The following is a 12,612-nucleotide window of genomic DNA, read 5'->3' on the forward strand; positions in this document are numbered from 1 at the left end:
CACGGAGAGGGGGTGGTGGAGGAGGGAGAGGGGTTGATGAAGGTGGAGGAGGGAGAGGGGATGGTGAAGGAGGGAGAGGGGGTAATGGAGGAGGGAGAGGGGGTGATGAAGGTGGAGGAGGTAGAGGGGGTAGGAAAGGAAGTGATGAAGGTGGAGGAGGGAGAGGGGTTGATGAAGGTGGAGGAGGGAGAGGGGATGGTGGAGGAGGGAGAGGGGGTGATGGAGGAGGGAGGGGGGTGATGAACGTAGAGGAGTGAGACGGGGTAGGAAAGGGAGTGATGAAGGTAGAGGAGGGAGAAGGGGTGGTGGAGGAGGGAGAAGGGGTGGTGGAGGTGGAGGAGAGAGAGGGGGTGGTGGAGGAGGGAGGGGGTGATGAAGGTGGAGGAGGGAGAAGGTGTGGTGGAGGAGGGAGAGGGTGTGGTGGAGGAGAGAGAAGGGTGTGGTGGAGGAGGGAGGGGGTGATGAAGGTGGAGGAGGGAGAGGGGGTGGTGGAGGAGGGAGAGGGGGTGGTGGAGGAGGGAGAAGGGATAATGAAGGTGGAGGAAGGAGGGGGTGGTGAAGGTGGAGGAGGGAGAGGGGGTGGTGGAGGAGGGAGAGAGGGTGGGAGAAGGAGTGATGAAGATGGAGGAGGGAGGAGGGTGGTGGAGGAGGGAGGGAGGTGGGTGGAGGAGGGAGGGGGTGGTGGAGGTGGAGGAGGGAGAGGGAGGAAGAGGAGGGAGAGGGGCGATGGAGAAGGTAGGGGGGTGGTGGAGGAAGGCGGCAGTGGTGTTCCTAACCCTTGATCTTGGCTTGTTAACCCTTTCTGAGCTTCCCTTTAGCGGGGGGATGAGGATGGTCGGCTGTTTCCACATTTAAGGGCAGAGCTGGGTGAAGGGTGGTGTTAGTGCTCGAGGGTCACGCGCGGGTGGCTTTGCCGCGGTGGTGGCAGCGGTGGCAGAGGCGACACCGCTGGAGGCGGCGGAGGGACGGGCCCACCAACGCTGCAGGCCGGTAAGGCGGGCGGGGGCTGCGGGCCACCAGGTCCTGCCCTCCCAAGCTGCAGCACGCGCTGGCTGGGGGGTCGTGGGGGCTCCCGTGGGGGCGCGGCCGGACGCGGGACGCTGCCTCCGGGAATGGGGCTGCTGGAGCGGGAGGATGCGCTAGAACCGGGGGTGGGGCGACGAGGGACTTGGGGGCGGGGAGACCCGCGCAGGACCCGTGCTATCCTTTGGGATTTTGAGGGGCGGGTCCGGCAAGGCCCCCCAAAGTGGCTGCTCCTGCGAGTCTCCGAGAGGGGAACAGGTGGTCGCGGGGTGGCTGCGGCGAAGGTAGCTCCTCTCCGGTAGCCACGGGGTGTCGGATGTGCGCTTTTACCCAGGCTCGATATGTGCCTCTCCTGGAGCCGGCTGGGACCCCGCATCAGGCTTTGGTCAAGGGTCTTTCGAAGGGATAGGAAGACGGGAAACTCAGAAAGTGCTGAAATCTGGGCACTAGAGAGACAGTGTGTCTGATTTTTACCCGCATCCTCACTCCCACTCTAGGTCATAGCACGTTCCCTGGATCAAGGTTTCCATAGTTAATCAGAGGGCGTCTCCGCCCCTCACCCCAACCCCATCCTGACAATATATCCTTTTGATTTCACCTCCTAAACCAGGTGTTGCAAACTCAGATGCACACAGGGCCAGAGGGATGCACAATGGGCCCAACTCTTACCTAGTTTCAACTACGCACCAGGCGCTGTCTGGAGTTATTCATTCATTGAATCCTCACCACGCTCCCTGAACTTGCTACTTGTGATGACCCTGATTTTACAGACAGGGAAACAGGTAGGCAAGGTGAAAGTCACTTACCCAAGATCACATGAGTAGCAAGTGTCAAGTCAGGATGGGACTCCAGGCAGGCGGCTCCAGAGTCCTGACTCTTAACCACGCTGCTGTGCTGAGCAGTTCAGCTGTGGGGGTCGCCAGGAGCGCTGCCAGGCAGGATTGCAGACCCTGTGTGGCCAGGCTGTCCAATTTCTTGTCTCAGCCTCCTGAGTAGCTGGGACTACAGGCATGCACCACCACGCCTGGCTAATTTTTGTATATTTTGGTAGAGATGGGGTTTCACCATGTTGGCCAGGCTGGTCTCAAACTCCTGACCTCAGGTGATCCACCCGTCTCGGCCTCCCAAAGTGCTGGTATTACAAGCTTCAGCCACCTCACCCGGCCTTAATTTTTGTATTTTTAGTAGAGACGGGGTTTTGCCATGATGGCCAGGCTGGTCTCAAACTCCTGACCTCGGGTTATCCGCCTGCCTTGGCCTCCCAAAGTGCTGGGACTACAGCATGAGGCCCTGCACCCAGCCCTGAGTTCTTATTTTCACGCCCCTGAAGCTCAGATCTGGCCCCACATAATTTGGTGGAGAGAAGAATTTTGGTGGAGGGAAGAATTTTCTTTTGGAAGGTGTGGCTATACAATAAAAATGACAGTGTTCACACTGGTCTTACTCTTGTCAGGGCCCTGGGGCCCTGAGCTATTCCCTCTTATAAAACTTTTTTTTTTTTTAAATTATTGTATTTTTTTCAATAGAAATGTTCTTTTCTTTTTTTTCTTTTCTTCCTTTTTTTTTTTTTTGAGATAGAGTCTCTCTCTGTCACCCAGGCTGGAGTGCAGTGGCATGAAAATGGCTCATTGCAGCCTTGACCTCCCGGGCTCAAGCTATCCTTCTGCCTCAGCCTCCTGGGAAGCTAGTAACACAGGCATGTGCCACTGTTACCGGAAAGGGATTCTGATCCAGATCCCAAGAGAGGGTCCTTGGATCTCATGCAAAAAAAATTCGGGGCGAGTACATAGAGTAAAGTGAAAGCAAGTTTTTTAAGAAAATAAAGGAATAAAGAATGGCTACTCCATAGGCAGAGCAGCAGCATGGGCTGCGCAGCTGCTTATACTTATTGTTACTTCTTGGTTATATGGTAAACAAGGGGCAGATTATTCATGAATTTTCTATGAAAGGGGTAGGCAGTTTCCAGAACTGAGGGTTCCTCCCCTTTTTAGACCAAGTAGGGTAACTTCCTGATGTTGCCATGGTATTTGTAACTGTCATGCTGCCGGTGAGTGTGTCTCTTAGCATGGTAATGCATTGTAATTAGCGTATAATGAGCAGTGAGGATGATCAGAGGTCACTTTGGTTGCCATCTTGGTTTTGGTGGGTTTTGGCTGGCTTCTTTACCATATGCTGTTTCATCAGCAAAGTCTTTGTGACCTGTATCTTGTGCCGACCTCCTATCTCATCCTGTGACTTAGAATGCCTTAACCTTCTGGGAATGCAGCTCAGTAGGTCTCAGCCTTATTTTACCCAGCCCCTATTCAAGATGGAGTTGCTCTGGTTCAAATGCCTCTGACACCATCATGCCCACCTATTTTTTTTTTTTTTTGTAGAGATGGGGCCTCACTTTGTTGGGCAGGCTGGTCTTGAACTCCTGGGCTTAAGCAATCCTCTTGCCTTGACCTCCCAAAGTGCTAAAATTACAGGTGTGAGCCACTGTGCCTGGCCTAGGCTTCAAGTTTTTTGGGAGCCGTGGCTCTGTCTTCCTCATTCTTGTATTCCCACATGTCACACATACTGCATTTCACATAATGATATTCAGGAAGTACTGAATCAAATGTAATTAACTCAAGTAAAGTAGAGATTCAGTCTCTTAGACACCTGCCTCAGGCAAGAAATCTCTCTTCCCCTCTGAGTTATAATGGAAGTCACTGTTCTCAAGCTTGCAGGATAAAGAGCAGCACAGACTCTGACATAGGACACCTTTGTTTTCCTCACTGCCACCCCTGAATTCAAAGTCATTTTGTCCCTATGTGGGTGTCAAGCGGCTAAGAAAATGGGCCCAGCATGAGACAGTTTCAAACAGTGCAGCTTTTTATTATGCAAAGGTAACAGGGTTTCTCGCAGCATGACCCCAGCAATAGTGGCTGTCTGTGACTGTTACCTCACAGCCAGGGAAGAAAAAAAGCTTTCAAGAGTATGAGTCAATCAAAGGGTGCTACTGACTTCACCTTTTGCTAGGGGGCCAGAATCTTTTGAGGGGCAAAACTATAATTCCAGCAACTAATAATGAGTCTTCAAAAAGCAACAAAACAAAACAAAAAACTTCCTAAGAAACCAACCCAAAACAAAACAACAAAAACAGAATGGAGAGAAATCTGGGAAGATCTACAGAGGATTGTAAATCTTTGGGAGGTAGAACAGCCAGAACTAGATTTCTGTCATTTTGGTTCTGCCTGAACCAAAACATGGCCCGAGAAGGACTGCATGATATGCCCTATGAACTTCATTAGGGATTGATGGGTTCAATAAGCTCCTATTGCAAAAATGCGAACATAGCAACCACTTACATTTTAGTCTGAACTAGCCACTTTCTGACAGCTGGGAGTTGCAAAGTCAACTGCTTACAGGGTCCGAGCATGAAATGTCAACAACTGAAGCAGGCAGAGCCAGAAAATACAAGAGTGGTGGGAATATAGTGAGTTGGGAACACATGCTCCATCTATAGGAGCAGCAGCAACTCAGCTCTGGGCAATCATTACCATGAAAAATTACAGGTTCTATGTTACTGTATGTTTTGGGAAGTTGGAAATCAGATTTTTTACATGAAATCTTCCAATTAAAAAATGTAAAAAAAATTTATTATTTTACTAGTTCTTCCTCTTTCTTCATCATAGGTTCCTCCGAAAATCTGATTAAAGCTATCGTGCCTGGGAAACTACAGCACATACTTTTTTTGTATACAATTTCAAGAGATTCATAGACAGCCTCCCCCAATCCCATGGTGTCTCAAGGGCAGAAGGAATGCCTGCCCTGGTATTTATACTTTCCAAGAAAGGATCTGATTGGTTGGATTTACCACTGTCAAATAGGTCGCACTTCCATTGGGCAGAGTTTCATTTGTGGTCTCCCCCTCATGTACTGATTGGCTGCTTTTGGCTTGAGCACCGATTCTGAGTCCCATAGTGATCACAGCTGCAGAGCTGGCTTCACCCAAAGCACGGCTCAAACAGACCTTTCAGAACAAAGTTATCCCAGGGATTACTTTTCTCAGAATTAATCTGTGGGCACCCGTATCATTTGAACTTCATGAACTGCCCTCCAGAATGCCTCCTCCCTCACCTTCTCTTCTCAAATTCCCACCATTTGGAAAACTCCTCTTGCTCCTTTTCATCTTTCCTCTTGTATTAAAAAAAAATTCTGGTAAAGCCATTACATTTAATTTTTATGATCTTGTTTAAAAGATTAGCTGTATTGCATCAAAGTCATACAAGTATATAGTTTAAAAGTCAGATTATAACATATTTATAATAAAATATTAGTTTCTGTTCCTCTGTTTCTGGTCCATCCCTAGAGACAACTACTGCCAACTGCCTTAGCTGTTTCTTTTCTATCTTCTTTTTAATTTTTTTGGAGACAGGGTTTCACTCTGTCACCCAGGCTCTAGTGCAGTGGTGTGATCATGGCTCACTGCAGCCTTGACCTCTTGGGCTCAAGCCATCCTCCTGCCTCAGCCTCCTGAGTAGCTGGGACCACAGGTGTGCACCACCATAGCTGGCCAAGTTGTTTCTTATGTCATTCCCCCATCTTCATATTTCTAATCTCGATTTTGACATATTTCCAGTTATTTCATTCACTCTCTCACTGACTCATTAATTAGCTGATTAAGTAAACACATATACAAGAAGTCTCTACTATAGGCTAAGGGCTGTCTAGGGTGCTATGGATAGAGAGAGGAACAAAAACAGATACCGTGTCTATTTCTATCTCTGTCTTTCTCTCTCTGTCAGTTTGTCTTCCTGTCTCTCATTCACTATTTTTATCTCTTTGCCTCTTTGTCTCTGTCTCAATCATTTTGTCCCTGTTCTCCGCCTCTCTCTCCACGTCTCTCTGGATTTAACATAAAATGTTCTCTTTCTCTTTATCTCTGTCTTTCTATATCTCCCCACCCCCTGTCTTTCCATCTCCCACGCCCTTCTTAAAAGGGCATGACTATAAAAGGGTGCTCTCCAGGTGAGGCCATTTTTAACCGAGGACTTAGCAGACACTTTTGTCTTGTCTTTTTTTTTTTTTTTTTTTTTTTTTCTGAGATGGAGTCTCGCTCTGTCGCCCAGGCTGGAGTGCAGTGGCGCGATCTCGGCTCACTGCAAGCTCCGCCTCCCGAGTTCGCGCCATTCTCCTGCCTCAGCCTCCCGAGTAGCTGGGACCACCGGCGCCCGCCACCACGCCCGGCTAATTTTTTTTTGTATTTTTAGTAGAGATGGGGTTTCACCGTGTAAGCCAGGATGGTCTCGATCTCCTGACCTCGTGATCCGCCCGCCTCGGCCTCCCAAAGTGCTGGGATTATAGACGTGAGCCACCGCGCCTGGCCTGTCTTGTCTTTTGTATACAGTATTTGAGGGCGGGGGCGAGGTGGGGAAGTTAGCTAGTTTGCACTTTAATGTAGTTTAGTCAAGATAGTCTTTTTATGAACCAATTTGTGCAGATTGGATGTGACTAAAATATCAAATCCCTACATTGTCAAAGCACTAATGGATTGGGAAGGTAAATTATAGAAGAGTGTTTTCCTGTAAGAATTACACTGACATTCAAAATTAACTTTTCTTGATACCGAGTCCACTGCATTCCACACTGGCTTTGCGGGGAACATTTAAATCCAAGTTCTTCGTGAGTGCTCTAATAGACAAGAACTGTGGTAATTAAATTAGAAGGCAAAAATTGTTCCTTGGTTACTTCCTGCAAGTTTTCTTACCTTGGGGGACTATTAGTGAGGAAGAATGTTTAGCAGATTTGTATTAGTCTGTTCTCATGCTGCTAATAGAGACATACCTGAGACTGGGTAATTTATAGAGGAAAGAGATTTAATTGACTCACAGTTCCACATGACTGGGGAGGCCTCACAATCACGGTGGAAGAGCAAGGGACGTCTCACATGGTGGCAGGCCATAGAGAGAGCATGTGCGAGGGAACTCCCCTTTATAAAACCATCAGACCTCGTGAGGCTTATTCACTATCATGAGAAAAACATGGGAAAGACCTGCCCCCATGATTCAATTACCTCCCACTGGGTCCCTCCCATGACATGGGAATTATGGGAGCCATAATTTAAGATTTGGGTGGGGACACAGCCAAACCATATTAAGAGTCTCGACAAAATTAAGATTATTCTGCCTTTATGGAAATGAGCAGGTCCACAAATGACTCAAAATATTTGGGGGGAAAAGAAGTAGGTAGCTTGGGAGGTAGCTAGAGATGGGGTTTCACTATGTTTCCCAAGCTGGTCTTGAACTCTTGGGCTGAAGTGATCCACCTGCCTTGGCTTCCCAAAGTGCTGGGATTACAGGTGTCAGCCTGGCCACGAACAACATTTTTAATGTGTATGTAATATTTCTGTTTAGTTTTCCTTCCCTCTATACCATGCCTTGGTTAGTAATCTGTTGTGCTTGAACCAAAGCTGAACTGACACTGAAGACACACGGGTTCAGTCCCACTTTTGCTGCTCACCAGCTACGTGACCTTGTGAAAGTTATTCAGCTTCTCTGGGCTTAGTTTCTTTTTCCGTTGAGTAAGACGTTTTGGACCAGATGACCTCTAATGTTTTTCCCAGATCTAAGATTCCTTGACACACCTACCAACAAATGTTTCAATTTTAATATGTAGTTTTTTCTTGTTATGAAGAGGGAAAACTCATTAAACAATTTGGAAAAAATCAAAAAAGGATAAGTGAAAACTATCCACAATTCCATCATCCGAAGAACCAATGTAAACACTTTGGGGCAATTTTCTTTGTCTTTTTTTGATATATAATTTCACAAATCATGATTGTTTATATTGTGCATGACAGTTTTGTATCCTTTTTTTATTTCTTCCTAAGCATGTCTCTGTGTCTTGCCTGTCTTCATGAACATTATGATTATTATTATTTTTTAGAGATACGTTCTCATTCTGTTACCCAGGTTGGAGTGCAGTGGTGCAATTGTAGCTCACTGCAGCCTCCAGCTCCTGGGCTTGAGCAATTCTCCCACATCCGCCTGCCAAAGTGATAGGATTATAGGCATGAGCCACCATGCCTGGCCATGAAAAACAGGCATGAGCCACCATGCCTGGCCTTGAAAAATATATATTTTTTTGAGACAGGGTCTCCCTCTGTTGCCCAGGCTGAAGTGCAGTGTCGTGATCATAGCTCACTGTAGCCTTGACCTCCTGGACTTAAGCAATCCTTCTACCTCAGCCTCCCAAGTAGTTGGGACTACAGGCGTGTACCACCATGTCCAGCTAGCTTTTTTTTTTTTTTTTTTGGTATTTTTTGTAGAGATGGGGTTTCACTATGTTGCCCAAGCTGGTCTTGAACTCTTGGGCTGAAGTGATCCACCTGCCTTGGCTTCCCAAAGTGCTGGGATTACAGGTGTCAGCCTGGCCACGAACAACATTTTTAATGTGTATGTCATATTTCATTGAGCGGTCATGTCTGGATTTACATAACCACTCTCTGGTTGGCAGACATTTTGGTTGATGCCAGCTTTTCTCTTATGGCTATTTGTGATGCATATCTTTGTTCATGAATATTTCTCCATCTTTTTATTTTCCTTGAGTTTATGGCTCTTTCAATGGTTCTATTTGTGTTTCCTGGCAAACATGGATAAATGCCCCAGAAACTTGCTGGGTGGGTGGCTTCGTGAATTTTCCCTGGAATTAAAACTTACTTTGCCTCCCATAACTGAATTGACTGTATGTCAGAGGGAGGACAGTGGCTGGGAGGTAACTCTGACTTTCATGCTTTATTAAGTCCTCACTTGCCTGCAGCCTCACTTCTTTTAGGTATGACCTAATTTTCATTGAGTTCTTTTGTCTGCACGGCTAATAACGACATTATCCTCAACGACAATAATAACAGCTACTGTTTTAAGAGTTTGTTCAATAGTGCCAGGTATTGTCCACTGTCTCATTCCATCCTTACAACAGCCCCTCTGAAGTCACTATTTTCAACATTTTGCAGACGAGGAAACTGAGGCACAGAAAAGTTGAGTTCTTTTCTCAAGGTCAGATAGGGAATAGGATTTGCACCAAGTTTCTCTTTATCCAAGAGTTTGACCTCTGAAGCACTGTATTCCTCTCCTTGCCCCCATATTTGCTCTCCTAGAAACATCTGTAATTAAAAAAAAATAGAAGAAAAGGAGGAGATTGATAAAGGGATGGAAGGAAGAAGGAACCATCCTTTGCATTTCCCTAATGTCTAGCGGCAGCTCTGCATTAAAAGCCAGGAGACTTGCGTTCCTCTTCTAGCCTTACTATTCATTTGCTGTGTGGCCTTGAGCAAACTACATCCTATATCCATGCCTCAGTTTATAATCTACAAAATTAAAGGGCTGGCCATGCGCGGTGGCTCATGCCTGTAACCCCAGCACTTTGGGAGGCTGAGGTGGGTGGATCACTTGAGGTCAGGAGTTCGAGATCAGCCTGACCAACATGGTGAAACCCCATCTTTACTAAAAATACAAAAATTAGCCAGGTGGTTGTGGCAGATGCCTGTAGTCCCAACTACTCGTGAGGCCAAGTCAGGAGAATCGCTTGAGCCTAGGAGGTGGAGGTTGCAGTGAGCCGATATTGTGCCATTGCACTCCAGCCTGAATGACAGAGCGAGACCCTGTCTCAAAAAAATAAATAAATACATAAATTAAAGGGCTAAATTATAGAGTCTTTATGGACTCTGAGACTCTTAAGATTCTCTGATTGACCCTAGGTTGGTGGGAGGGGACTCAGAAGTGATTATCGCTGCAGAAAACGGGGAATCCAAGGCTCAAGGAAGTCTGCAGTATCACAAAAACTATCAGGCCCTGTTGGGTCTTTCACGTGTAAATATCTGAGACTTTGTATTTTGGGGTCTCTTTGGGAATGGATTTAATGAAGGTTAAACACAAAAGAATAGAGTTAAGAATATCTGGACACCACAGGGAACCCAAGAGCAGGAGCAAGGGAACCAGATGTTTCTGTTCATATCTACACTCCTGGCAACATCATGCCTCTCACTCTGACACCGTTCTCTACGCTCCAGGGCCCCGGAAGTTGCTGAGTTTTCAGATATTTGAGCCTGAACTAACACCTCCCTACGCAATCTAGGAGAAAGAATCTGATTGGTCCAGCCAGGGTCACATGGTCTACTTCTGATCCAATTAACTGTGTCAGGCTGGGGGTGTGGTCCAAACACAGGGGCCACCTCTGGAGGGGTGGGGCACCTCAGGCGTCATTCCTGGGCGTGATGGCTCAGAAGTCCAGGGACAGAATTGCTCCATGGGGCACACCCTTGATGGTCTCACAGTGCGGCAAGAGCTCCTGCAGTTGTTATTAAGGATGGAGCTTTAAATTACTTACTTCCACTTTATGTGAAGTGGCTTTCCCCGGAAGGAATGAACAAAACTGAGGACGCCTAGGGGAGCCAATTATTGTTTGAGGCTTTGAAGTGTGCACGTGTGCAGAGGGACGGTGTATTAGGGTTCTCTAGAGGGACAGGATTAATAGGATAGATGTATATATAAAGGGAGTTTATTGAAGAGTATTGACTCACACTATCACAAGGTGAAGTCCCACGATAGGCTGTCTGCAAGCTGAGAAGCAAGAAAGCCAGTCTGAGTCCCAAAACCTCAAAAGTAGGAAAGCCCACAGTGCAGCCTTCAGTCAGCGGTCAAAGGCTCGAGAGCCCCTGGCAAACCGCTAGTGTAGGTCCAAAAGTCCAAAAGCTGAAGAACTTGGAGTCCGATGTTCGAAGGCAGGAAGCATCCAGCAGGGGAGAAAGATGCAGGCTGGAAGACTCAGCCAGTGTAGTCCTTCCACGTTCCTCTGCCTGCTTTTATCCTAGCCGTGGGCAGCTGATTAGATGGTGCTCACCCAGACTGAGGGTGGGTAGGCCTCTCCTAGTTCAGTGACACAAATGTTATATCCATTGGCAACACCCTCACAGACACACCCAGGAACAATACTTTGCATCCTTCAATCCAAGTCAGTTTCAGTCAAGTTTTCTTTGATGATTTCCCACATAGTGATATTCACTAAGGGAGACTTCCCAGTTGAAAACCTGGATGGCCTCATGACTGCACATTGAATCCCGTTTCTTGAAAAGGTTACGCTGGGCGCGGTGGCTCGCACCTGTAATCCCAGCACTTCGGGAGTTCGAGACAGGTGGATCACTTGAGGTCAGGAGTTCGAGACCAGCCTGGCCAACATGGTGAAACCCCGTCTCTACTAAAAATACAAAAATTTGCCAGGCGTGGTGGTGCATGCCTGTAGTTCCAGCTACTTGGGAGGTTGAGGCAGGAGAATCGCTTGGACTCGGGAGGCAGAGTTTGCAGTGAGCCAAGATCCTGCGCCACTGCACTCCAGCCTGGGCAATAGAGTGAAACTCTGTCTCAAAGAAAAAAAAAAGTTGGTTAAAATGGCCAGGCAGTGCACTTGTGTGCCAAAAGGAATGTTCTAGAGAATCAACACACCTCTAATCCTGATGTTGAGATTCAATAAGGACCAAGAGCCCTCTAGATAAGTAGAACTCAAACTTTAGATTGTTTAGGAACTACCCAGGGTGCTTGTTGATATGCAGATTCCTGGATCCCCCAGAAATTCTGTGGGACCAAGGAGGTGGAGGTGTGGACTGGGGATTTTTAGCAGGTGCCTCAAGGTAAGTCTGATGCTGGTAGTCTGATCCATATGATTACTTTTCATATGTAAAAAGAAGAAAAAAATCCATGAAATTCTTACCCAATGAAATCTGATGTGTCATATAAAGGTTGAGCTGCTTCAGGTGATGTAGCAGGTGAGGAGCTCAGAGTTCTCCCCATTCTACCCTGTGCTGTGCCCTCCACGCTTGTATTAATAAAGCCACTATTTATTTATTAGCTGCTGGAGGTATTGCGGACAAAGTAATGAATAAAATAAACCAAATTCCAGTTCTCATGGGACTCTTCTACCTGCAGGGAAGGCAGGCAATACACAAATTAGCTAATGAGTAACTTGCAGGTTGTGCTAAGTGCTGTGAAGGCAAATATAGCCGTGGGGAGGGGACAGAAATACTGGAAGGGGGATGTCAGGCCATCTGAAAAGGCATTTGAGTAAGGACCTGGATGCAGTGAGGGAGTAAGGCATGAGAAGATTTGTGAGGAAAATGTTCCAGGAAGAAGGCATGGCAAGGGTGAAGGCTATGAGGCTGGAATAAGCTAAGAGTATTACAAGAAGACCAAGCAGGGGAATGAAGCTAGAGGGAGTGTGCAGACAGGTGGGTAGGGGCCAGGTCACTTGCAGCCTTGCCTGTGACTTTGCACAGGCCCTGTGCATAGTAAGGTGTTTGTATTTCATTTTAGGAATGATGGAAACCATGTCCTCATGTAATCTTCCCAACGATCTTATGAAGAAGGTCCTACTATTTATGGCCATTTTACAGTTAGGGAAACTGAGGCATAGAGCGATGAAGACATTCACAACTTCTAAGTGGGAATATGAGGATTTGGACCTCAGGGTGACTTCAGAGGCTACTGTTCACTACCACACAATACCATCTCCTATATATCTCAGGAGTTTAGCATCAAATTCTACATGATAGATCCCTTATGGAGCTGCAGTAGG

General features: G+C 47.0%; 1 protein-coding gene across 1 annotated transcript in view, besides 2 other annotated features; it reads left to right on the forward strand.

The window, feature by feature from the left end:
• The window catches only part of RPH3A (rabphilin 3A), a 323,646-nt gene continuing 311,940 nt past the window's right edge, over window positions 907-12,612 (forward strand). Inside the window, exon 1 of the mRNA NM_001347952.2 lies at window positions 907-990. The gene's annotated coding sequence lies outside the window, so the exon portion shown is untranslated. The remainder of the gene's footprint in view (window positions 991-12,612) is intronic.
• Window positions 3,816-4,335: an enhancer, noted in NCBI's record as "OCT4-NANOG-H3K27ac hESC enhancer chr12:113015949-113016468 (GRCh37/hg19 assembly coordinates)". NCBI's record gives its function as "activates a minimal SCP1, AML or CMV promoter by ChIP-STARR-seq in naive and primed H9 embryonic stem cells {active_cell/tissue: H9 hESC(naive and primed)}" and the evidence as "EXISTENCE:reporter gene assay evidence [ECO:0000049][PMID:30033119]".
• Window positions 6,233-6,757: an enhancer, noted in NCBI's record as "H3K4me1 hESC enhancer chr12:113018366-113018890 (GRCh37/hg19 assembly coordinates)". NCBI's record gives its function as "activates a minimal SCP1, AML or CMV promoter by ChIP-STARR-seq in naive H9 embryonic stem cells {active_cell/tissue: H9 hESC(naive)}" and the evidence as "EXISTENCE:reporter gene assay evidence [ECO:0000049][PMID:30033119]".

This window comes from Homo sapiens, chromosome 12 (assembly GCF_000001405.40).
Source record: "Homo sapiens chromosome 12, GRCh38.p14 Primary Assembly".
Classification (NCBI taxonomy): Eukaryota; Metazoa; Chordata; class Mammalia; order Primates; family Hominidae; genus Homo; species Homo sapiens.